We start from the raw sequence: 25,823 nt of genomic DNA, 5'->3' as shown, positions 1-25,823 counted from the left end.
AGTGATGGTGACCATTATCTAGGAATCCTGTTCATAGTGCCACTTCTTGTGACAACTTTGCCAAGTCAAGATAAACCCCGAGCCAAAAATTTGGTTTAGAATTTGAGACTGATAATACCACATATATAACAAGAGGATATAAAAATATCTGACTTGCACAACGAGGTTTGTGGGAAGAACAAGAAAGGTATCCCAAAGAGGTCTGAAATGACTTCAGAAAGTAGGAAAAAAAACTGGCTTGGAGTTTTTTCTGTGGTCGGGGTGGAGCTGGAGTAAGATTTTTCACACATGGGCCAGTCTTTTATGGTTTGAATTCCTGCCAGTAACAAAGGAGGAAGCACCTAGGTTTTCTTATTAGCTTTTCCAGGTAAGAGACACAAGAGAAAGAGAGAAGTGAGGCTTAAGTCTTTCAGCTGTCAAATTTCAGAAAAACGCAGTCAGGTTCTGGATTTGGGAAAGGGTTTAATTAGGAGCCTTTTTACAGAAGTGTGAATAGAGTTAAAGAAAGAAATAAGAAAGATATTGGCATGCAGATTTCAGCAGTTTGTGTGAAGTCATTGCCACCTGTAATCTGAAAGAGATGGGTATTCACGAGAGTAAAACAAAAGGGGACAGGGAGCAGACATTGTGCTCTCAGAGATGTGACATTGCTGAGGCAATAAAGCCATTGCTGCTCAGGAAAATACATTTAGGTCTTTGTCTCTTACCTTTTGATCTTTTACTGGTCTTTGTCATTAGCTGAACCTAATCAGAAGCCAAAGGCCAAGGAAGTTTATGTAAGAGAGTTCATAAAGTTAGCTTTCCCAGGCGACCAAAAGATAGAGAAGGCCAGAGAACTGTTATGAGGGTATAAATAGAAAAATAACCAAAATGGTCAATTTTTAAAAATGCAGAAGCCAGTTGTCATAGCAATCTTAATGTTTCTCATAATAACCTGCAATTGTTCTCATTTATCTCGTGTTGATACATGCATGGCTGTTTGGGGGTTCTCCATCCTGTTTCCTTGTTCTATGTATCTTCTGGAAATACAATGATATATTAAATTCTGTAATTTTCAACTCTATATTTTTATATAATATAGCAATTCCTCCCTCTTGGTTCTTCAAATGTGTCATGCCTATTCTTGAAATTTTGTACTTTTATATACAATCTATAACAAGCCTGTCAAGTTTCCAAATCAAATAAAATTAAAAAAAAGAGAATAAGTAGTAGGTGAAATTTGATCAGTTTGGGGAAAATTTGCATATTTATGATTTAGTCTTTCATATCATGAACATTGAATATTTCTTCTTTTACATTTGCCTTCATTAATATGCTTAAAAACAATTTATCTTTTTTTAAGAAAAACATTTTCATTGAATTTATTCCTATATGCTTTTTATATTTTGATGTTACATAAATGTTCTTTCTAAAGTTTCAATTTTGAAATGTTTGCGATTGTTGTGAAGAAATACAATTGGTATCTATACATTGAGTTTACAATTAACAACTTTGCTAACCTCATATATTTTAATTATTTATAGATTTTATGTAGACTGTAGAACATTTTTTTCTATAAATAACCATATTTTTTCCCTCAATACTGAGCAAGCTTTTTGTTTTATTTTAAAACTTGCCTTACTATTGTAACATTTTACTATTCTAAAACATTCAAGAAAAGTGGGCACTCATATATGGTTCCTGTTCTTATATACAATACTTAACATTTTTTACCATTAAGAGTCCCATTTGTAGTATTTTATGGGATGATAGATATACTTTATTAGGTAAAATAAGTATTATTCTCTAGTTCTTTATTCATTTTTCAATATATTTTCTGTATGAATTTGAAAAATATTTGCATTCTGAAGCTTTTGATGCAGTCTTTTAAATAAGGCCCACATAAAAAGTTTAATGATTTTGTGGCTTATCTTCAAATTTACTTGTTTTATTTTTTTAATCTATCATTTACTGACAGAAATATGTGAAATTTCTCACTGTAATTGTGGTTTTACCTTTTTACATTATTTTTATCATTTTCTGAGGCTCTATTATTAAATGTACACATATTTCTAATGATCAATCTTAATTATAATTTGACTTTTTAAAATCAATACATAGTAACTCTCTTTATTTTTAGGGTTTTTTTTGCTTTAACTTTGGGAATCTTTATTTTTTTTTGGAAATTCGGATACATAGCTAAATTCATTTTACTTTCACTACTTGATTATTTATGTAAGCAAGTTAACCTTTGATTGCATAATATCTATTTAGGATAATTTGAGATTTAGATAACTCATCTACTACCGGATTCACTATTTAATTCAGAAATTTCTATGTTAAAAAAGCATGGATAATCTGAAGTATCATTAAAATGTCACAGATGAGTCTGGATGCAGTGGCTCATGTCTGTAATCCCAGCATGTTGGAAGGCCCTGGCAGTAGGATAGCTAGAGGCCAAGAGTATGAGACTGGCCTGGAAAACAAAGTGAGACCCCCAACTTAAAAAAAAAAAAAAGCACAGTATTAGTATGTATAGATACATATATGTATATATGTGCACACCTGTATTTTCTTACCATGTATGACCATGTATTTTATGTGTATGTGTGCATACATACACAAACACTCACACAGTCCACCCTCCATATGCATGGATTCTCTGTCTGCAAATTCAACCTACTACAGACTAAAAATATTTCAAAAAAGATAGCTAGGAATACACAAAAATAATAATTTAAATAAAAAATAATATAACACGGCCAGGCTCAGTGGCTCACGCCTGTAATCCCAGCACTTTGGGAGGTTGAGGCGGGCGGGTCACAAAGTCAGGAGATAGACACCATCCTGGCTAACAAGGTGAAACCCCGTCTCTACTAAAAATACAAAAAAAAAAAAAAATTAGCCAGGCATGGTGGCGGGCGCCTGTAGTTCCAGCTACTCGGGAGGCTGAGGCAGGAGAATGGCGTGAACTCGGGAGGTGGAGCTTGCAGTGAGCTGAGATTGCACCACTGCACTCCAGCCTGGGTGACAGAGCGAGACTCCGTCTCAAAAAAAATAAATAAATAAAAGTAATAATAATGATGTGACACTTATTTACATAGCATTTAAAAGTATGAGGTATTATAAGTAATCTAGAGATTATTTTAAATATATGGAAGGATGTGCATAGGTTATATGCAAATATTATGCCATTTTATTATATAAGAAACTTCAGCATCTTCAGATTTTGGTATCCAAGGGAGATCCTAGAACCACCAATCTTCCATGGATACCAAGGGATAATTTCATATATATCTCCTCCTTATAGATATAAAAATCTATATATTGATCTATATTTCTAGTAGAAAAATTTCACAAGATATAAATACAGAGAGATTCTACTATGTTTTTCTTAAATAATTTTGGAAATGCAAATTTGCTTAAGATTGAAATGGCAAATAGATTTATTTAAATACTACATAGACAAAAATCATATTATCTTAGGATTACAATTTCCCATACATCTTCAATCAACATATTTACCTATTACAGTGAAAAAATCTTGTATAGTACCTGTTTTGGTTAATTTTAGGTGTCAACATGACTGGATTGAGGAATACCTAGAGAACAAGTAAAACATTATTCATGAGGATGTTTCCAGAGAAGATTGGAGTGTGACTTTGAGTACACTAAGTGAGAGAGATCCACCTTGAATGCAGACAAGCAACATCCAAGTGGTTGGAGGCTTGGATAGAACAAAAATAGAGGAAAGGCAAACTGGTCTCTCTTCTGGAGCTAAGATACAGTCTCCTTCACTTGCCCTTGGAAATCAGAACTCCATGTGCTGTCTGGCCTTTGGAGTCCAGGACTTACTCCAGCAGCCACTTGGGTTCTCAAGCATTTGGGTTTGGAAAGAGTCACACTACCAGCTTTTCTAAGTCATCTCCTGCTTGTACACAGCCTCCATAATCACATATGAGCCAATTGCTCTCATAAATCCCCTCTCATATCTATCTTTCTATTCATCTATATCTATCTATCTATATCTATCTTCTATCATCCATCTATATCCTATAGTTTATGTGTCTCTAAAGAACTCTATCTAATACAGTGTTTATGCACCATCGACACTTTGTTTGAGGTTTTCAGTCTTATGCTGTTTTAGGGCACTAAGCCATTAAATAAGAGACAGGATAAATACATTTTCTCATTAAATAAAAAATGTAAAGAACATGTCTGTCAGTATAAGATAAGATTTTTACAAGGAAAGAACAAACACAATTTATAAGAAGAGCTGTTGATTGTTCAACAGAGGCACAGCTCTAGTAAACATAATGATAAAATTATAGCCCCATGACCTCTATTATTTCAGCAGCACTATCAACACAGCTGATTTGACTACCATAACAGTATTGTACAGTACTGAGGGGAAATTATCACTTTGTCTTAAATTTGAGGTTATTTATGATCTGAACAAATGTATCTGTTTTAAAAGACATACCGTCACTTTTTCCAAATTAACTTCCATGATCTCAAAAATTCATTTCTTACTATTTTAAAACGGCTTAATATTACTACCTATGGTTGAAAACAATGGTCAAATTCTATCTACTTTCTCACACACCCACAAATTATCTGTAGCATGGACATAACCTAGAAAAGAAAGCAATTGTACTTCATTTGATATTGTATTAATTTTTTTAAAAAAACTCTGTCATTAGAAAACACTAACATTTGGTGTCTCATCTACTGACATTTAATTACCTTTTTTTAGATTTTTATATTTCACAGAAAAAATACCTTAGGTTACTGTGAATTCATGAGATTTCAACAGAATAGCTCCTTTTTGGAAATTCAGTTACATAGCCAAATTCATTTTACTTTCACCACTTGATTATTCTGTAAGCAAGTTAACCTTTAATTGCATAATATCTATTTATGATAATTTGGGATTTAGATGATTCATCTACTATAGGATTCACTATTTTATTCAGAAATTTATATGTTAAAAAAGCATGGATAATCTGAAGTATCATTAAAATGTCACAGATGACATTTAGATGCAGAGTCCAGATGTAGTGGCTCGCGTCTGTAATTCCAGCACACTGGAAGGCCCTGGCAGTAGGATAGCTAGAGGCTGACCTTGTATGACCATATATTTTGTGTGTGTACATACATATACAAGTACACATGTATATGCTGTATGTTACTACATATGGTTGAAAGCAATGGTCAAATTCTATCTACTTTCTCTTACACAAAAAATTATCTGTGGCATGACCATAGCCTAGAAAATAAAGCAATTGTACTTCATTCGATACTCTATTAAAATAAAGAAAAACTCTATCATTAGAAAACACTAACACTTGTGTCTCATCTATTGACATTTAAATACCTTTTTTTTAGATTTTTATATTTCACATAAGAATACCTTAGGTTACTGTGAATTCCTAAGATTTCAACAGAATAGCTCAAATTTTGAGACAGCAAATTCAGACAGTAGATTATCATATTTTTTAAATGAGCTCTCAACTATCACGTAAGTGTTCAGAAAAAGAAATTAAATACAACAATTATTTGAGTATCCATACCTATATTCTTCTACTATTTAAATATATAAAAAGTATACACATATATGTAAATAATGATTATATCAATTTTACCTTTTTGTGTATGGAAATTAAGTCAATTTTATCACTAATCCATTTGTGAGTTTTTAGTAGCATCGTCAGCATGACAAAACATATATACAATTTTTTATTTTAGATTATAACTTAACCAAAGGTAAATATGAACAAAATAACATTTTACCAATCAATTATATAAGGAGAAAATCAGTAAGAGAGAAATATTTTTTAAACATTGAACAAACTGTATGTAATGCAGTGTATAAGATAGCAAATTTCTAATCTCTCCTTCTGGACAAGGTGCTATATTCTGAAGAATGATATTTAGCTATAACTTTTAGTGTATATGGTGAAAAAGGAAAATCAGGCATGTTAATGAAATAGTTTGTTAAATAAAACTTTACTTTTTTAAAGCTTTGAGGCACCAAAAGTGGGGATAATAGTTGCCAACAACTGCATCCTACATTCCAGATGATCGATTCAGGACTTGTAAATTGGGTTTCACAAATCTATTTCTGTTAACAGTAGCCTATCACTTAAACCATTCTGTGTGTAAGATAAGTAGGGGACCAAAATAATAAATCTTTGATAGAGAATTCCTTTGAAGCAAGTTGTTAGAATTCTCTGTGTTTCTTCATAGTGGGTGTTCTTCTGCCTAACTCGGGCTGACTGATGGTGAGTTGACTTTCAAAGAATCACTTGGAGGACTTAACATGTGTCTCTGGAGCTGGGTGTGCACAGCGTTTTGTGCTATCTTTCATTAAAAAAAGTCAGGCTGACTAGGTATAGCTACTTCTATTAACAAACACAGGAAGAGAGAGTTTTAGCACATGGACAACTATTTCCAATGTCTTGTAGAAAAAAATGAATTTTCCCCATGTTGCAAAGCAAACAATAGATAACTGACCTTAAATCAACATGAAAGGACACTACTCATAAAGCAGCATGCCATGAAAATTTGGCCCTCACAGAGATGATCTGTGTCAGATGTACTGTCTGAAGAAAAGTACCTGGGGAGTAAATCTCTGAAATAAAAAAAAAAATTCAAGTTGTAGACTTCAGCTTGGAAATTTTCTGAAGAATTTGAGTTTCCTCTACCCTGAGGAAACCCAGCGTTTGCCCTGCAGAATATACAAAAGCAGATTATAAAGAATATGTGACCTGTAAGAATGTGTCCTTCAATCTCTATTATCCCCTCTTTAATTGCCACCACCCAGGATTCCTGGCTCCTAAGTGAAAGAGGAACCGGAGCTACAAAGTCAATGCAAATTGACTGTAGCACCTTCTCACTGTAAGTTTCTGCTTCCAGATTGGACCTGAGCTACGGGACAAGAATTTTTAAATTGGGTAAAGGCTTAAAATTTTTTGGTATTTATAATAGCTTTATTCTTAACAGCATCAAACTGGAAACAACCCAAATGTTCTCCAACAGGTGAATGGCTAAACCAACTAGTACATCTATACCATGGAATACTACTCCACAACAAAAAGAATGATGACTGATACACACAACAACCTAAATAGATCTCAAGGGCATTATGCTGAATGAAATAAGTCAGTCTCAAAAGGCTACATGCTATATGAATCTATATACATTAACATTCTTGAAATTATGAAATAATAGAATAAATAATAGATTCATAGTTGTGAGGGGTTAAGGAGGTGGTAGGCATGGGAGAGGAGTGGGCGTGGCTCTAACAGGGCAGGTGACATCCTTAAAAATACCATAGAAAGAACTTCCATCTAATCTCACTTAAGACAAAATTTCCTAACCTTTAACAATCTATAAATAATACTTATGATGCAAATGTTTTGTATTTTGGTTAATAAATGTCAATATCCTGGTTGTAATATAGAACTACAGTTTTAAAAGATTACCATTAGAAAAAAAACTGAGTAGGAGATGCATAGAATCTTGGTTATTTCTGACAACAGCTTGTGAATTTTAAATTATCTAACAGTTTAATTAAAATGTTTTTCTGGGCTGGGTGATACGGCTCAGTCCTGTAATACCAGCACTTTGGGAGGCTGAGGCAGGAGGATCGCTTGGGTCCAGGAGTTTGAGGTCAGACCAGCCTGGACAACATAATGAGACCCCGTCTTTATAAGGAAAGAGAGATAACCATGAGACAAACAAGCCTCTTTAAAATTGTTTTTCTGTTTTATCAGCATTTATAGTACAATAATTTCATACACACACTGCCCCACTCCCTACAGCCTCACCCATTATCAAAATTTCATACCAGAGTGGTACACTTGTTGCAACTGATAAACCTACATTGAAACATCCTTATTATCCAAAGTTCATAGTTTACATTAGGGTTCACTCTTGGTGGTGTACATTCTGTGGGTTTCACAAACATACAATGATACATATTCACCATTCTAGTGTCAGAGTAGCATAGCCCCCCCTTATTCACACGAGGTACATTCCAAGACCACAAGTGAATGCCTAAAACCACAGTTATGTGTACTATGTATAAACCTATGTATGCTGTGTTTTATTATGCACATATATATCCATGATAAAGTTTAATTTATAAAGAAGGAACAGTGCTGCTGTGCTTTGGGGCCATTATTAAGTAAAATAGGGTTACTTGAACCCAAACCTGGTGATAACATGACAGTCCATCTGATAACTGAGAAGGCTACGAAGAGTTCCACAGGCAAGCAGCATACACAGTGTGGATACTCTGGACAAAGGGAGGACTCATGTTCTGGGCAGGATGAAGTGCGAGGACATGAGATTTCATCATGCTACTCTGAACTGATACGTCATTTAAAATTCATGAATTGCTTATTACTGGAATTTCTTTTGATAATTTTGGACTGTAGTTGATCATGAGTATCTGAAACAGTAGAAAGCAAAATCATAGATAAAGAAGGACTACTGTAATTTCATTGCTCTAATAATCCTCTGCGCCTATTCATCCCTTCATATCCCTAGTCCCTAGCAAACACTGATCTTTTTACTCTCCCATAGCTTTGCTTAAGAATGTCATACAGTTCGAATCACACAGTGTATAGCTCATTCAAATGGACTTATTTCACTGAATCATAGCATTTAAGTTTTCTTCATGTCTTTTCGTGGCTTGATAGCTCATTAATTTTTAGTGCTGAATAATATTCTATTGTCCGGATGCACCAGAGTTTATTCATCCATTCACTTACCAAAGGACTGCCTCTGTAATTTGACAAGTATGAATAAAAGCTGCTAAAAACAGATTTTTGTGTAAACATAAGTTTTCCATTTATTTGAGTAAATACCAAGGATTACAACTTGTGCATTGTATGATAAGAGTATGTTTAGTTTTGTGAGAAACTTCCAGCTGTCTCCCAAAGAGGGTACGTACTATTTTGCATTCCCACCAGCAGTAAGAGCTCCTGTTGGCCAGCATTTGGTGTTGTCAGTAAGGCTTGAAATTTTATTAAGCTGGATTTGAATTCTTAATCCTTGAAAAATAAGATGCTTTTAATAAGAAAACTCATGGCATCTTCCAAAATGTCAAACAAAGACAGGAAAATAAGACTCAGTGAACAGCAAAAATAAAACGTGTTCATGTATTATGCTTTTATTTTCCTACGTGTTCACTTTCAAGACTATCCCAACAAATATCTCTAGGAAGTATGTTATACATCAGAGAGATGTCCGGGTTCAGGTTGCTATGTGGAGGAGGATGATACAGAAAGAAGTTTAGTTGCAGAAGATAAACACTATGGACCACAAAAGGAATTGATGGGTAAAAGATGAAACAAGTGTCTGCATTGAGTTCAAATATCCAGGAACTTTTTTTTTTTTTTTTTTTTTGAGATAGTGTCTCACTGTGTCACCCAGGCTGGAGTGCAGTGGTGCATTTGCTCACTGCATCCTCGACCTCCCATGCACAGTTGATCCGTTCACCTCCGCCTCTGGAGTAGCTGGGACTATGCGTGCAGGCCACCGTACCCAGCTGATTTTTGTTTTGTTTTGTTTTTCTTTGTAGAGATTGAGTTTCACCATGTTGCCCAGGCTGGTCTTGAACTCCTGAGCTCAAGTGATCCACCCTGCTCAGCCTCCAGTTTTTAAAAGAATTGTTGGACTCTCTAGCAAGCATTGTGATCATATTTTAACTGATAAACTACACACAGGAAGAGAAACTTTAAACGAGGCAACAGAGGTACTTGAGACTTTCGAAACCAAGAAAAACACCAACAACAAAGAAATTGTGACTACAAATTCATGCACCTTTCCTTAAAATTTCCCAAAGGAATAATTTTCTTGTGATTCATTTTAAAAAATTAGCAAAATAATAAATAATGACATCCTTCCGGAATAAGTATGCTGGAATTCATCACATCTAGATTACCAAGTAGCATATAAAGAACACAAAGTACAATGAAAGGAGTGTAGTTTATTACAAATTTTCCCTAAATTTTTGATGAAGTTATTAGTGGATTAGCTGCAGAGCCATCTATCCAGACCACGCTAGTCGTAGGTCTTTGTGCTGGTTTTCAATAGCAAGACTTCGCTCCTGAGACCTAATGGTCTAAGTCCATGCTATTCCAATTGAACCTAGTTATTTTTTTTGCACCAAAGCTAGGACCATTTGTATAAGTGTTATAATTATCTTTACAGAATATCATCCACATTTATATGGCTCTAAAATATTTTCTAATAAGAGGGCTTTGCTTCTGTGTTTATTAATTCTCTCACTCTTTTTTTTAATACCATAAGTTGTCCTCTTTGGACTTGGAACATTCTTGTTAGCACAGAAACCTACTTTCATATCTTATATCTAAATAATGTTCAATTTATCTCAAATTACCCTTCAGCCATTGTCGTTTTTTTCTACAGTCCTTCAAAGCAACTGACTTCTAATGAGTTTAGTGCAGCTACGGTCTCAATTTTTTTACTAACCTTTCTCTCTTCATCTCATTCCTGTTTGGCTTCAGTACTCATAACTCTGCAAAGTTTCTTCTTGTCAAGCCACCACCATTGTATGTTCAAATGCAAGATTCTGTTATTTTGTCCTTACCATAAATCTTAGCAGTTAACAAATTTAACTGTCTTCTTTATTAAAGCCTTTTCATGTCTTTATTTCCTTATAGTTATATTCTTTTCTACTTTATTCTGTGTCTTTTGCTGGCTCTTCCTCCACTTCCTAACAAATGATGGAATATCCCTGAGCTCATCCCTCAGCCACAATTTTCTTATCTGTTCTTATCGTATCTATTCTTTGACTCTACTAGAAAATGGAGTCCAGTCTCATAGCTTTTGATTCCAGGTACCTAGTGTTAAGTCCCACACAGGTGCCTTCAAACCTGACCCCTCCTCAGAGCTCTATAGTTTAAATCCATCAGCCTATTACAGGTCTTCTATTTCATGTTTAAAGGGCAATCAGATGTAACATGTTTAAAACAAAATATTCATGCCCCTCAAACCTGCTCCAAAACCTGTTTCTCTCCCAAAACTTCTGATCTCAACAAACAGTGCTATCAATTTGCTTAAGTTAATATCTAGATATTGTAGTGTTTAAAAGATTTTTCCAAATAATAGTTTGTTTTTTTGATATCTATAACATCTATTTTTCACCAAAGTTCAATAATTACAGGCACTGAGAAAAAAAGTCTTTGCTTTTTACATTTATGGATTTTGCTGTAAGTTATGCTTATTTATATATGAATTACATAGTCATTTTCTTATTTTTAGAAAATTTAACCTTTATATAGAATGATTTTAGGAGTTTTTGAATCTAGAAAATTTAAAATAGAAGAGCTATTTATTGCTGTTTTTGAGGTTTTTCAAAACTTGTTTATATCTTCTCCACACATATAACACAATTATATCATTTTTATTAAACCAGATATATAATTTTGTTAAAAAATTATACATGGATATGTTTTTCATTTTTTTATATTACATTAAGTAGATTTTCAGTAATTTTTTCAAGTTGAACTATACAAGCTAGGCACTATTATTTTTCAATTTTCCTAAAAACATCCTGATCTACCCTTCAAAGGCAAAGGTAATAGCATTTTTCTAAAACTATTTTATTGTTATTTTATTACTTTATTTTTTAGTTGCCACATTTTAATGAGTTTCAATGGAACTCCTGATCAAGGCCCTTCCTGTTACCTCCCCTTTTTAACACAGAATCACGTGCTAATGCATTTTCTCAGTGTCTTTAGACTCAAGTTCATGACTCACTGCCACCTTACACAATTCTAATTAGAACAAAGGGTGGATTTGCTGCTGAATTCTTTCTTGGTTGGACAGCTAATTTCTATAGCTTGACTAATATTTTTTCCTCCTAACCAGATATAACTCCGCACAGTTGAAGAATACTCTAATATTTTAATTTATAAAAATAGACTTATTAGAACCAAGACATTCTTTTATTAAAAAAAGTGATGAATTGAAGTACATTTCCATTTTTATATTAAACAGGTTTTAATTGGTATTCAGGCAGAAGAAACCAATTGAAATTCTGAGAGTGCTTTCCTTTTAATAACGAACAGTAAAGCCACAGGCAGTGCTTTAAAAAAGACATATAAATGATGGGAAAATTTAACAGCTTGGTGTCCCAAATACAATCCCTTGGACTGATGTTCTGAGGTGATTGCTGTGAAAAGAATCAGTCCTCATTAAAAACTGCAGGTAGAGCACATGTATTTATAAGGTGTTATGAGGATGTTGGCACAAATAAAAACTCAAATAAAATTAACTGCTTCCAAATTGTAAAAAAAAATGTAAAATAAACATGCTTACTGTGTTGGTATTGGTATCATTAAAATATCATTTCAAAATAAATGGTATTTGTATTAGTCTGTTCTCACACTGCTGTAAAGAACTGCCTGAGACTGGGTAATTAATGAAAGAAAGAGGTTTAATTGACTCACAGTTCCACATGTCTGGGAAGGCCTCAGGAAACGTACAGTCATGGAAAAAGGGGCGGCAAACATGTCCTTCTTCACATCACAGCAGGAAAGAGAAGTGCAGAGTAAAGTGGGGAAAAGCCCCTTATAAAACCACCAGATCTCATGAGAACTCACTTACTATCATAAGAACAGCATAGGGGAACTATGCTGTTCTCACTAACTAATCACCTCCCATGAGGTTCCTCCCACAACACAGGGGATTATGGGAACTACAATTCAAGATGAGATTTGGGTAGGGACACAGACAAACTGTATCAGTATTTAATTGCAATAATTCCTCACAATGAATATGTATATACACAAATTATATTCTATTCCATTTCATTTCAATACACTGAGAAAGTTTGATTACCCCAACCATGTAACCCTTCTGTCAGATTTATACATAATATGGAATTACATATTAATGTGTAACTGGTTGATTGATATCAGAGCTGATTAATTGCATGAAAATCCAACAGAAAAATCAAAACATGCACAATTAATAAAAATAAATAAAATTTTAAAAAAGGGATATGGACAAGGCTGGACAAAAAGTTTAAGAAAAGGAATAAAAAGTCATACTTAAAAATGAATAACAAATATTGGAGCCTTTCTACTATGCACGAAATTATACATAAGAAGCTGAACTTTGTAAAATATATGTGTAATGAGTAGCGTCTACTCAAGCTTACTGAAATTGTCTCATCTCTTACAGTGAAGTTACACAACCATTTTGAAAATTCTTATAACTTTCTAGAAAGTAGTAAGTATCCTAGTAGTATAATTATAGTTAAAGGGGCTTTCTTTGAACAAGAATATTCTGGGGAAAATAGACACAAATCTATTTTCCTCTTTTGACAGTATTTTATTCTGTTTCTCACTTTTAGGTTCCACCCACTCTCCTTCACCTCCTACTCAACATGTTCACATTTGTCCTCCCTCCTTCTCCACTTCTGGTTTGTGCTTGCCTCCAACCAATACCTAAACCTATCCAGGTTCTTTAAAATACTAGTTTAAATTTCCAGAGGATAAATGTATATAATTATTTACATTCTTTTTCGATGTATAAATTTTACTGAAAATAATGCCTCCTTAGTTGTAATCTGGATTAATTAATCCATTGTTCAATGGTTTAATTCCAATTAATTCCACATACATTGTATATATACAAATATCCTGAATATTATTACCAGCTAATTATTACCCACTTTTACTGAAAACCTGAAAAGAAAGGTAGGAATTATTAATGGTGACTGGACTTAAAAACCACAAAATACATGTTTGTTTATGTCATTTGAGATGATGCCGAGTTTTTGAAATTTTGACGTATCTGGGCATTAATTGAAAAAGTATTCTCTAAAATTATGCTGTCATTTTTTGACAGCATAGAAAAAGAATGATCCAATATAACATTTTTTCTCCTTTAGAACGGGATCCCAAGAGAAAACTGTATTGTATATTATTCATGCAAAAATTCCTTTATTCATTTAGCAATAATTTATGATATCCTATGAGACTGACATAGTGCTAAAAGTTGTATAGGAAGAAGGACAGGCAAATAAAATAAATCACTTTCTCTTTATATTAAAGAATTATCAACCTTACAGAAAAGTTTTAAGATTATACAATACCCATATCGCGTTTGGTTAACTTCATCAAGCTTCTTTCTTCTTTCTTTCTCTCTCTTTCTCTCACTCTAAACTTTCTAACAGGATGCAACCATCAAAGTTTATTTATTGCATTTGGTTATTTAATCTGTTGTTCATCCATCTAAAACAGTTCCCCAACATGATATTTTTCAAAAGCCCAAATTAGTTTTCTTCCCGAATATTTCAGTTCTGGATTTGTCTGACAGTTTCCTCAGCAGGTTAGCCAGAGTAGTACAAAAGCAACAGTGTTTCTGTGTGTGTGTGTGTGTGTGTGTGTGTGTGTGTGCGCGCGCGTGGGTGGGTGGGTGTGTTTGTGATTTCTTTTTCTATTTGTATTTCAGTTTGGTCAACTTCTATGAACATATCTTCAAATTCACAGATTCTTTACCTTTTGCAAGGCCTTTGGTGTGAGGGATTTTGTTAGCCAGAAGTTGTTCTGTGTTTAAAGATTTTATAGCTGTGGTTTTTCTAAGAGGCCTCTATTCCCCTGATTACACTTTGGGTTTACAGTATTACTAATTTTTCAGGAGTTTGTCCCAGAGTCTAATCCCAGTTGGCCTGGAGCCTTCTCACTTTTCTTGTGGTCTTCACTTTACACTGTTTCCAAGGATATGTATTTTGCAGCCCTGCCAGATGTATTCCACATGATGCTTATCAGTGTGGTAGTGAGGGGGTGGGTCTGAGTGTTCTCTGGTGATCTGATTAAGTCTTAGTTTTTGGCTGGCTGTGAGCCTAGATCTCAGGGCCATGCCCTTCACAACCTTTCCACCTCTCCTCCAGATGCAATGCTGGCCTTGTTCTTTTCCTGGAGATGGAGATTCTGCTCCTCTCATAGAGCAGAGAACAAGTTTATTTGTTTACTTACTTATTTTGCAGTTTTTCTCCATCAGATACAATGAATTTCTACAAGAGCTTATGAAGTACATTTTTTTTATTGTCCTTCTCCCTTCAAATTATTTCAGAGGAATCACAGAGATAGGTCTGGGGGGATTTAGTCAGTGGCTAACGTTCCTTTCCCGTGGCTAGCACCTTGGGAAAGCATTCCCAGAAATCTGTGTCATCTTTCATGTAAGCACCTAGAAGAGGTCCTGAAGTAAGCCCCTGCCAGATAGTGTGAAAGCCCCTCCCGCAATCTACAGCCCCTGATGCTTCACATTTGTACACTAGTCCATAATATGTCTTTGGCAGCACTTGTTGGCTTTTATAGCATTTCACGATGTATTATCCAGGTAAGTAAATGCTCTGATCCTATTACTACCTACAGTTATAAGCATCACTCCATATTTTGGGTCAGCAGTTTGTCCTGTGACCTCAGTTCTCTAATAGGCTTAAGAAAAGTTGTTTCCAGTTCTTCCAGGTTTTCTTTTGTTATATAAATGGGAGCAGCACTCTTTCCTACTTGATGTATTCTAAGCCAGAATTGATTTTTAAAGCATCCTTTTCTTAATTATGATAGCATAAAATGTGCTCATCACAGCATCTGGCACATAGCAGGGGCTCAATAATTATAAATTCCTTTCCTATTTACTGAATTTTGAAGTATTCTTGTCATTACAAGCTATTATTTCTAGAAGTGAGACTACTTTTAACTAGGTTTTTCGCCGTGATGATATCATGATATATAACCTTCAGCAAGACGTTAATCGGTAACCTGCGGCAGTGGAGGAGATGGAGGTGGAGTGTTTCATGATTAAATATTTTGAAAAAATTGATTAAGCAAATTAAATGGGATTCCTTAATGAAATAATTCTCAGAGGTGTTATGCATTATATATTCCAGATAGAGGTGTCACATATACACACATTGGGTTCTTTACCATAAAACACCCACCAATACTTAAAAATACTATTCTCCTATAATCTATTTTCAGTTACTTATATAAATTAGTGAGATAAAAGAAATGAAATCTCTAAGACAAAATTTTGCTAAATGACAGCAATGAAAGTATATGAAAATACCAGGCACTAAAAATGTAATAAAACAAAGCAATTAGGAAATTATAATGATTTTGAGAAGCATCACCCCTATGGGAACAGACATATTAAAAGAGAGTGCTTCCTGAAATTTCTAATACCCCAGCTTCCTTTAAAGAAATAAACAAAATTTTACATTGCATAATAACTATATGAGATTAATAAGCAGAAGAATCCAGTGATTATTGTTAAAGAAAACTTTGTAATACATACACTTTAATTTCTTTTTGAACATTGTTTTCTTATTTCATTATTTAATATTTGTATTTGTTATGCAATACTCTATGCTTTGCTTTTGGCCCAAAATATTTTCTCTGAAAATCAATCACTTTCTATTTCCACATTAAAACAAGACTAAAAAATTCTATACTCATATTTTTGATAAATCTATTAATTACATATTTATTTTTCTATTCAAAGTAATGTTTCCTACAAAGTAAAGTTTGCATTAATTTTTTTATTATTCTACTTTAAGTTCTGAGGTACATGTATAGAATTCGATACCCATTTTGCCCTACACAATTGCATTTGAGAAGGAGTGAGTGAATGATACATAATGTTGCCTAACCTACAGCCTCTTTTTGGCCTTTCAGCTAGTCTCATTATTAAGATAAACAACAACTGCTCTTGCACATTAAGGGTGCACAACGTGTACTCTTTTTTACTTTATGAATAAGGTTCATGACCTAACTTATGTCTCTGGAGGAGGAGTTGAATAAACTTATTCTAACTATTCAATCACTCGGAACCCTTTCCTTAATCATAGTTGTCTTTTCTCTCTCCTGAGATTTTCTGAATAAAATGCAAATAGAAGGAAAACATCAGTGTCATCTTCTCCCTAGTCTGAAGTGTCACTTCACCCCTAATCAGGGTGGCAGTCTCATGCAAAGTTTTGGTTCTGTCAGCTAAATACAATGAGAGCTAAAATCTCTCATGACAGAAAAGAAAAGAAAGGCATTTCCAATATGTACAGCTTTGAAAAGTTAATTGAGAAAATGTTGTAAGTTGTTGTAAGTTAGGCAAAGAAATTCAATTTTAAATTGAGTTGGAATTAAATATGAATAACCATATTCCCACTGAATGTAAGTATAATTACTATTACAAACATACATAAACTTCAACATATATTTCATTAATGTTATTCAGACCCGCTGCATGTTAAAATTATGGACATTCACTTAAAATTGTTTCTTATAATATGAAAAAAATGTTGAGAAGTAACATTGATTAGTGAACTCAATTCTGGAACTCCTCGGTTTTAGTAAAAACTTTATAATAACAAGCATTGGTGATATACCTCTTGGATAGAAATAGATTACAGTTTCAAACTTGCCAATGAATTTTGAGTAAGAGGAACTCTACATGTTGTTATCCTAGCTTTTGCTTAGTTGTACAAACTTTGAAAAGATAACTGACATAATTGGGTCTCAATTTCCTCATCTTGTTAAGAGGATTAAGTGAGTACCTGTTTCATAATATTTGCACAAGGATTTGTTAACTGATTTATCCCATGACCTAGTTATTCTGCTCTGAATCATGATTTTGTTTTTTAATTATTGATAACTATATGAATATTTTAAGTCATCTACCTTTCTCCCTTTCTTTAAGCTAAGATCTCCCTCTGCACCCATTCTTTGTGAATAACTTCTCCTTTCATCTTGCACTTGCAGGTTATATTTTCATTAATCAGCTAAATAAAACTACATTTCTCTCATCCAAACTAGCATCTGCCATCCATCAATAGGGGTAGTTCTAGAGTCTCTGCAAACAGCTTAGAGTGAACTCTTTTTTTTTTTTTTTTTTGCGATGGAGTCTCACTCTGTGGCCCAGGCTGGAGTGCAGTGGCGTGATCTCAGCTCACTACAAGCTCCAGGTTCACGCCATTCTCCTGCCTCAGCCTCCCGAGTAGCTGGTACTACAGGCGCCCACCACCACGCCTGGCTAATCTTTTGTATTTTTTAGTAGAGATGGGGTTTCACCGTGTTAGCCAGGATGGTCTTGATCTCCTGACCTCATGTTCCGCCCGCTTTGGCCTCCCAAAGTGCTGGGATGACAGGTGTGAGCCACCGCGCCTGGCAGAGTGAACTCTTATTGCTGGGAAATCCTTCCTAAATCTCCACTGATTCAAGTTTTTTTTCCTAAAGAATGCTTCAAAAGCCCTGGCTTTGTCCTATATTCATTTATCCAACCCCCATTTTCATCCCAATCTATTACAGTCTGACTTCCATTTATATAACTGTAATTAAATGATAATGAATAACATTACATTTTTCTCACACCACATTCTCCTTATAGATTTTCTCATCCACATCCGTGCTTTTGCAAAACACCTATAAGCAGATATCACCAGAGCTATCCTGCAGGTTCTAGAACATATATCACACTTCATATTTGACATTTTCATTTGGATGTTACTCAGGTATGTGGAAAAAGCTGAAATTTACAGAAGTAATCTCTTCTTTGTTAGCAGGAGTATATTCTTTTTGTATGTTAGCAAAAATACCAAAAAATATATTTTAAATGGCCAGTTTTCTTTCTCATCATCCTGAAGCTCAATAAAATACAATATTGTATCTGTTACCGAAGGCAGAGAAGCAATTATTTATTACTTCTCACACATTTTCATGTCAACTGGATGGTTCTTCTTGTTTATGATTAATCCAAACATTCATTTACAAATATTTATGGTCAGTTACAACTTAGAATCTCTCAAATATTTGGAGTTGGGTTGGTTGGGCTTGTTCTTATGGTGGAGGCAAAAGAGAAGGAAGGAAGGAAAGGAGCGCAGCTTCTTGAAGTCTGGTCTTAGAAATGTCATGGTGTTGTTTTCTCTGTATTCTATTAGTCAAGCAAGTCACAAATTTAGCTCACGTTCAAGGAATGAAAGAAAATAATCCACCCCTTGATGGGAGAAGCTGCAAAAATTATATGGGAAAGGATTCTGGATCCAAAAAGGGGAATAATTGCAGACATTTTTGCAAACAATCTATCACAATGACACAATTGACTGTTTTCTTGGAACTTTCCTTTCTTGGATTTAAAAGCATCACTAATTCTTTTTCTACTTTAAACTCTAAAGCTATTTAGCTTTTCTCATTTACAGGGTTTCTGTTAATTTTCTCTCTGTTAGTTGTGCTGTTTTTCTTTTTCTTTCTTTTTTTCTTTGAGCCCCATATATTTCTCCTTTGTTCTCACACTACATTCCCCTTATGGGTTTTCTCATACACATCCATGCTTTTGAAAAACACCTATAAGCAGATATCACCAGAACTTGCTATCATGGCTGAAGGTGAAGGGGGAAACAAGGACCTTCTCCACATGGTGGCAGGAGAGACAAAAGTGAAAAGCGAAGCGTGAAGAGCCCTTTATAAAACCATCAGATCTCATGAGAACTCACTCACTACCACAAGAACAGCATAGAGGAAACCGCCCCCATGATCCAATCACCTCCTGCTGGGCTCCTCCTTCGACTCATGGGGATTATGAAAATTATAATTTGAGATGAGATTTGGGTGAGGACACAGAGCAAAACCGTATCACCAATCTATCCAAACCACGAATCTACCAATACTACTTCCTATGTCTTGATACTTTTGATTTCTCCAAGATATTATCAATTCCCTGGATTACTAAAAAATCAATGTATTCTAGCTGGTCTTGGCCGTCTTCCTTTTACCCTAGTTCCTATACCACAGAGATCTAGAGATTAAACATAAATCTTACTATCGGCTGGGTGCGGTGGCTCACACCTGTAATCCTTGCACTTTGGGAGGCCAAGGCAGGTGGATCACGAGGTCAGGAGTTCAAGATCTCCCTGGCCAACATGGTGAAACCCCGTCTCTACTAAAAATACAAAAATTCGCTGGGCGTGGTGGCACGTGCCTGTAGTCCCAGCTACTCGAGAGGCTGAGACAGGAGAATCGCTGGAACCCAGAAGGCGAGGGTTGCAGTGAGCCAAGATCCCAACACAGCAGTCCAGCCTGGGCGACAGAGCAGGATTTCATCTCAAAAAAAAAAAAAAAAAAAAAAAAAAAAAAAAAAAAAAAAAAGGCCGGGAGCGGTGGCTCACGCCTGTAATCCCAGCATTTTGGGAGGTGGAAGCGGGTGGATCACGAATTCAGGAAATTGACACCTTCCTGGCTAACACGGTGAAACTCCGTCTCTACTAAAAATACAAAAAATTAGCTGGGCGTTGTAGCAGGCGCCTGTAGTCCCAGCTACTCGGGAGGCTGAGGCAGGAGAATGGCGTGAACCTGGGAGGCGGAGCTTGTAGTGAGCGGAGATTGCGCCATTTCACTGCAGCCTGGGTGACAGAGCGAGACTCCATCTCAAAAAAAGAAAAAAAAAATCTTACTCTCATGATCTGCTAAAATCTTCTTCAGTGACTTGTCATGAACCTCAGAATGAAAAAAACAAGCAACCTAAAACAACCACCAAACTTTAGCAAGTTCTATATGATCTGAATACAATTTAAGTCTGCAACTTCCTCCTGTACAGCATTTTTTCTTTTCTTATGCTTCAATCATACAGATTACATTTCAGTTCCTGAAAATAACTGTCTTATTTTTTTCTCAAAAATCTTTACATTTATTCATTGCTCCTTCATGTCTCACTTGCAAACCAGTTTAGGTACTTCCATTATCCCAAAGTTTTATTTCATTGCAAGTATAATTAGCTTAAGTTTCTCTTTTCTGTTCTTTTTAAATTCTGTGAGTTTCTTGCTCATCAATTTATCTCCAGTGTTTGTCACAACCCCTGAAATATCTGCGGTACTAAATTAACTTGATTGTTAATGAATGCAGGTATTAGAAATTAATATCTTAAAATAATTTTACATATAATTTTCTAGATAACCTAGGAAAGCAAAATTTTGTCAGTGTCCAGTTTCTCCATAGCTCACAGACATAATTTCTAGAACATAATTTCTAACAGTGGCAGTCATGTTTAAAATTAGTTTTGAGGACTTAAAATATAGAACACCCTACTTTCTCGTATGACGTTAAAAGGATTTGTATTTTTAATAGTCTTTATGTCTATTTTTATTTCAGAAGTCCTTTGGGTATGACTTTTTTATAGTTCTAGATGATTTCAATACTGTAAAATTTAACTTAATTTTACCTTCTGTAGAATTCTAAGTTGATGTTATATAATAGAAATATCTTTTGAGTGGTCAGGAATATTTTACCTGTTGCTTTTGAAATTACTGTAGAAAAAGTAAGGAATAAGAAATCTACATTCAAATTTTACATACTTCAAGAAAATTTCAGAAGCTTGTTACCTTCAAATATTCTACTGCCAAGTATTTCAAAGTGGGTTCTGGATAACTTTAAGTGATGATGTTTCTAATCTGATGGTGTTATAGATATTTTCAGCTTGCTTTATTCTCCTCATTTCTCTCTCTCTCTTTTCTTTACAATGAAGGGCAAGCAACCTTCCTTAAGGCATCACTGCATTAAATAAATTCATCTGTTTAGTGTGAATATTAATACAAAGGACAAAGTTAGCTTTGCCCCAGTAGTGGCCTGAAAACACCTACCTAATGCCTGTTGTTAGGCTAAATGTTTCACAGACAACCGAACTCAACTAACCACGATTGAATTAAATGGATGAAAGATGGAGAGAAGGACAATTTACCTAAGAAAATAATTAAAATGAGTTCTTAGAGCTTACCTGAGGTAGACTTTTATCTTTTTAAATGCCAAGGAAAGTCAAAATTATAAATGAGTAAATATATGATGTTTGCTAAAAAAAAGAAGTTTGCTTTTTATATTTTAGATTAAAAAATATATGTGCATATATAATTACCACAAAAAGTAATTAACATGAGATGCATGATCAAATGGTGTTACATTTGTTACATTGGTGTTATCAAAATGCTTAAACATTTTGATATTTGTTTTGTTATTGCTTTTAGATTTTGACGTCTGTTAAAAATCATATTTAATTATTTATACTCATAACATATTTGATGTGGCTGGTGTGTAACTATGAATAGGTAAGGGTTTTTATATTTGTATAAAAATGTGATTGAGACAATTGAGAAAGGGATTTTAAGATTATATTGTTTTGTTACTCACCATCTTAAGTTTATGTGACTTTGCAAAAAATTTAAATTATTTCCAATAACTAGATATTTGCTATCCCTTAAAATGTCAAAAGAGGTGTCAAAGATCTCAAGTATTTCAAAAATATAGTTTCAAAACAGAAAATTTGGAAAGATAATTTCATCTTTTCCATGTCAATGGTAAATATAGGCAAAATATGTAAAATTATTTAGCACAACTCAGGTGACCTTGGGGAAGTTAATATTCAATAAGCTTTTTATTTATGTATTTATTTTTGTTTTTTTTTGATAAGAGTTTCACTCTGTCGCCCAGGCTGAAGTGCCGTGGCGCGATCTCGGCTACTGCAAACTCCGCCTCCCGGGTTCATGCAATTCTCTTGCCTCAGCTGGGACTACAGGAGCCCGCCACCATGCCTGGCTAATTTTTTTGTATTTTTAGTAGAGACGAGGTTTCACCTTGTTAGCCAGGATGGTCTGGATCCCCTGACCTCGTGATCGGCCTGCCTTGGCCTCCCAAAGTGCTGGTATTACAGGCGTGAGCCACTGAGCAGAGCCAATTAAGCTTTTAAAAAATAATTTACGTGGCCTTTTTGCTTCTTTTTGTAAAAATTATTTTACAATATGAATGAACTAAAAAAGTACAAACTAAAACAAGAAAATCTACATAGATAAAAAAGTGAAAATTAGTAGTAAATTACATGATTAAAATTAAAGTTCAAACTGATTAGCAATATGGAGAAGGTAGAATAGCAAGAGGATTCAGTACATTTTCCAAGATTTATAATTCACCAAACAGAGTCAACATTACCATGAAATTATATGTAGAGCAATGGTCAATATATTGGAATATGAACTAGGATTTTCTATATCAACTCTTCAAACACTCAGAGTCAGTTTTTCATTAGTTGTATCTTAATATGAATCATTTTTTCACAAAATATATATGTATATACCCCCACCCACATATATAAACAGATATGTATACACATATACTTTTTAAAATTTATTTCAAGTAGATTTGCAGTCCTTCTAGCCTATTTTTTTAATTGAATCATATTTTAAAAATATTATTTGACCTTTATGTAGCCCAGTGTGAAAATGGCACATGTAAATTTTCATTATCATAAGTGAAGATAGTGGAACTTATTGCTCTTCAATAGTTGATTTTTTTACCCAATAAAATGTGAGTAATCTAGTCTCTTTGTGTGTAAAACTTAATAAAGCTTTTAAAAGTATCTAGATTATCCTAACCTTTTAAAAAATTTCGTTTTATAAGCTTTATAAGAAATCTTAGTTCTGAAGTTAGCTAACAGTATTAGATAGACTGGTTTCACTCGCCATTATCCTGCTGTTGCTTTAGTCTTGGACTTTCTAGTCATTTATTCATTGTGTCATTTATTCATTCGGTATAAAACTAGGCATTGTTGATATGCACATTAACAAAGCATACAGGACTCCATCCTTTATAGCGTTTACAGTCTAGTGTTCAAGACACAGTACTAAAACACAACAGAAAGCAGGATGTTAAAATGTTAAGTAATCACTGCTATGTTAAGGGATTGTCCAGTGCTCTGCAACACAGAAGGGATTTGAGGGCTCGAAAAAGGCAATACTATCCAAATTGGAAGCATAAGGATAAATTGAGGTTTTCTAACTTGAAAAGTGGAATATTTGGGGAGTTTTAGCATAATGAGAGATCAGGAAAATAGGCTCAGAAAAGGAAATGACATGTTTCAAGAACATTATGCAGAAATATTTCTTCTTGTAGCAGATCAAAGAAGCTTTGCAAGTCTGAATTCCCCAAAGCAGCCTTACTGCATCATTCCTATATTGGTGAACTGCATCTTTGCATGTGTGTGTGTGTGTGTGTGTGTGTGTGTGTGTGTGTGTGTGTGTGTATGTGTCTGTCTCTGTGTGTGGACATGAAGCTTTCTTGAATTTTCTAAAGGTAGGTGTTCTTCAAGAATGAGGATCATGATTTTCTGTTATATTATCAATTCTATTTGTGTGTAGCTTAATGACAATCAATTTGATGCTTCTTGTGGTCATATGCACCTTCCTAAAAATCAAACTGTGGCATTTACATTTCAACAGAAATGTGAAAATTGTGCCATTTAGTGTATAGTGTATTTTCCGATGTGATCAAGTTACTGAATTATTTGTGATGCTGAACATTTAGCAATAGAATCTCACTAATCCCAACTTACTATTCAAGATGCATGGTTGGAGCTTATTTTAAAAGCAGAAGCACATTTGCTGCTACAAAACAGTCTGGCCTGGCAAGGCCAAGGAAAGAGAGGGAGAAGCTATCTTTAGTGCCTTTCTCTGCTTTGACCTAGAATGGAGTATTGAGAACACCTTGAAAGAAATGAGAATGGATTTCAGAAATTTCATAATCATCAGAAATTGGTAGCTATTTTACTCTTTGTCTTTAAATTTGCCAATACTTTTATTTTTCTTGAATTTAGAAATCTATGATTTATTTCAGTAATTTGATGTTCTTTCTCCAGAATAAGATAACATGTGATCTGGTCAAGTCAGCCAGAAATCTCCAGTTTTATTCCTATCTTCTTTATACTACATTATATTGACTGCAAAGTTCAGAAAATTCTATTTTTTTGTAGCAATCATTAAAAACTTCAAATGCTTTTAGCTAGTACTTAAACACAGCTGCTATTATATTTAGATATGCTTTTTGTTATTCATAGGTATGAATTTTTTTTTAAGAGATGGGATCCTGTTTTGTTACCCAGGCTAGAGTGCAGTGGCATGATCAGGGTTCATTACAGCTTCAACATCCCAGGCTCAAATGATCTTTTCATCTCAGCCTCGTGAGTAGCTAAGACTACAGGTACAAGCCACCACACATGGTTAATTTTTTTTTTTTTTTTTTTTGTATTTTTAGTAGAGATGAGGTCTCACTATGTTGACCAGGCTGGTTTCAAACTCTTGGGCTCAAGCAATCCTCCTGCCTTGGCCTCCCAAAGTACTAGGATTACAGGCATGAGCCACCACTCCAAATATCTTATTAAAGCTAAATTAAATGCATCATTGGAAACTTTAATTTAAACCTTATTTTTATACTGCATTTAAATTCAAAAAGTGCCAAACTATAAAGTACTACTTCTATATCCACTAAAGTGTTTACTATTTTGATTTGAATCACTAAATCAAAAATTACTTTTAAAAGAGATACTGTTTTTGGGGAAAAGTCACTAATGACTTTTAAAAAGTTAAAAATATCATTTGGGTTAGTTGTTTACTTTCTAGGGAAATTAATTTTGTCATGTAGAAATACTTTGAAAGGTTTCTTCAGAAAAAATGTGACTATATGTGATTGCATCAAATCCTATTGTGATGAAAACAAAACAGTTGTAAGAATTGACCAGTTTAAACTATGGAATCCTAATAATATTGCATTACCAATAGTTTTCATTGAAAGATACTGTGTAACTTATAAAGTATTATATTTATGCAAGTAAATTTATAAAGAAATATATATAAGCAACAATTAGAACAAATAGTATTTCAATATAGTATAGCTATAAGTGGCTTTTCTTCTAAAGTGCATAATAAATAAAATTTTAAGTTATTTATTAACTATGTCACTGAGCTTTCACATTTTTGATCCACAATAAATTATGTTTAA

The 25,823-nt window shown here is 34.1% G+C and overlaps 1 long non-coding RNA gene across 1 annotated transcript in view; it reads right to left on the bottom strand.

Moving 5' to 3' along the window:
• The window catches only part of LINC02770 (long intergenic non-protein coding RNA 2770), a 278,575-nt gene that overhangs the window by 239,284 nt on the left and 13,468 nt on the right, over positions 1–25,823 (bottom strand). Inside the window, exons 2-4 of the long non-coding RNA NR_186758.1 lie at positions 6,496–6,613; positions 3,535–3,581; positions 708–836 (exon numbers count right to left, since the gene is read on the bottom strand). This is a non-coding gene — a long non-coding RNA (long intergenic non-protein coding RNA 2770). The remainder of the gene's footprint in view (positions 1–707; positions 837–3,534; positions 3,582–6,495; positions 6,614–25,823) is intronic.

Source organism: Homo sapiens, chromosome 1 (genome assembly GCF_000001405.40).
Source record: "Homo sapiens chromosome 1, GRCh38.p14 Primary Assembly".
Classification (NCBI taxonomy): domain Eukaryota; kingdom Metazoa; phylum Chordata; class Mammalia; order Primates; family Hominidae; genus Homo; species Homo sapiens.
The sequence above is the reverse complement of the archived record's forward strand: the minus strand, read 5'-3'. Positions and strand labels throughout refer to the sequence as shown.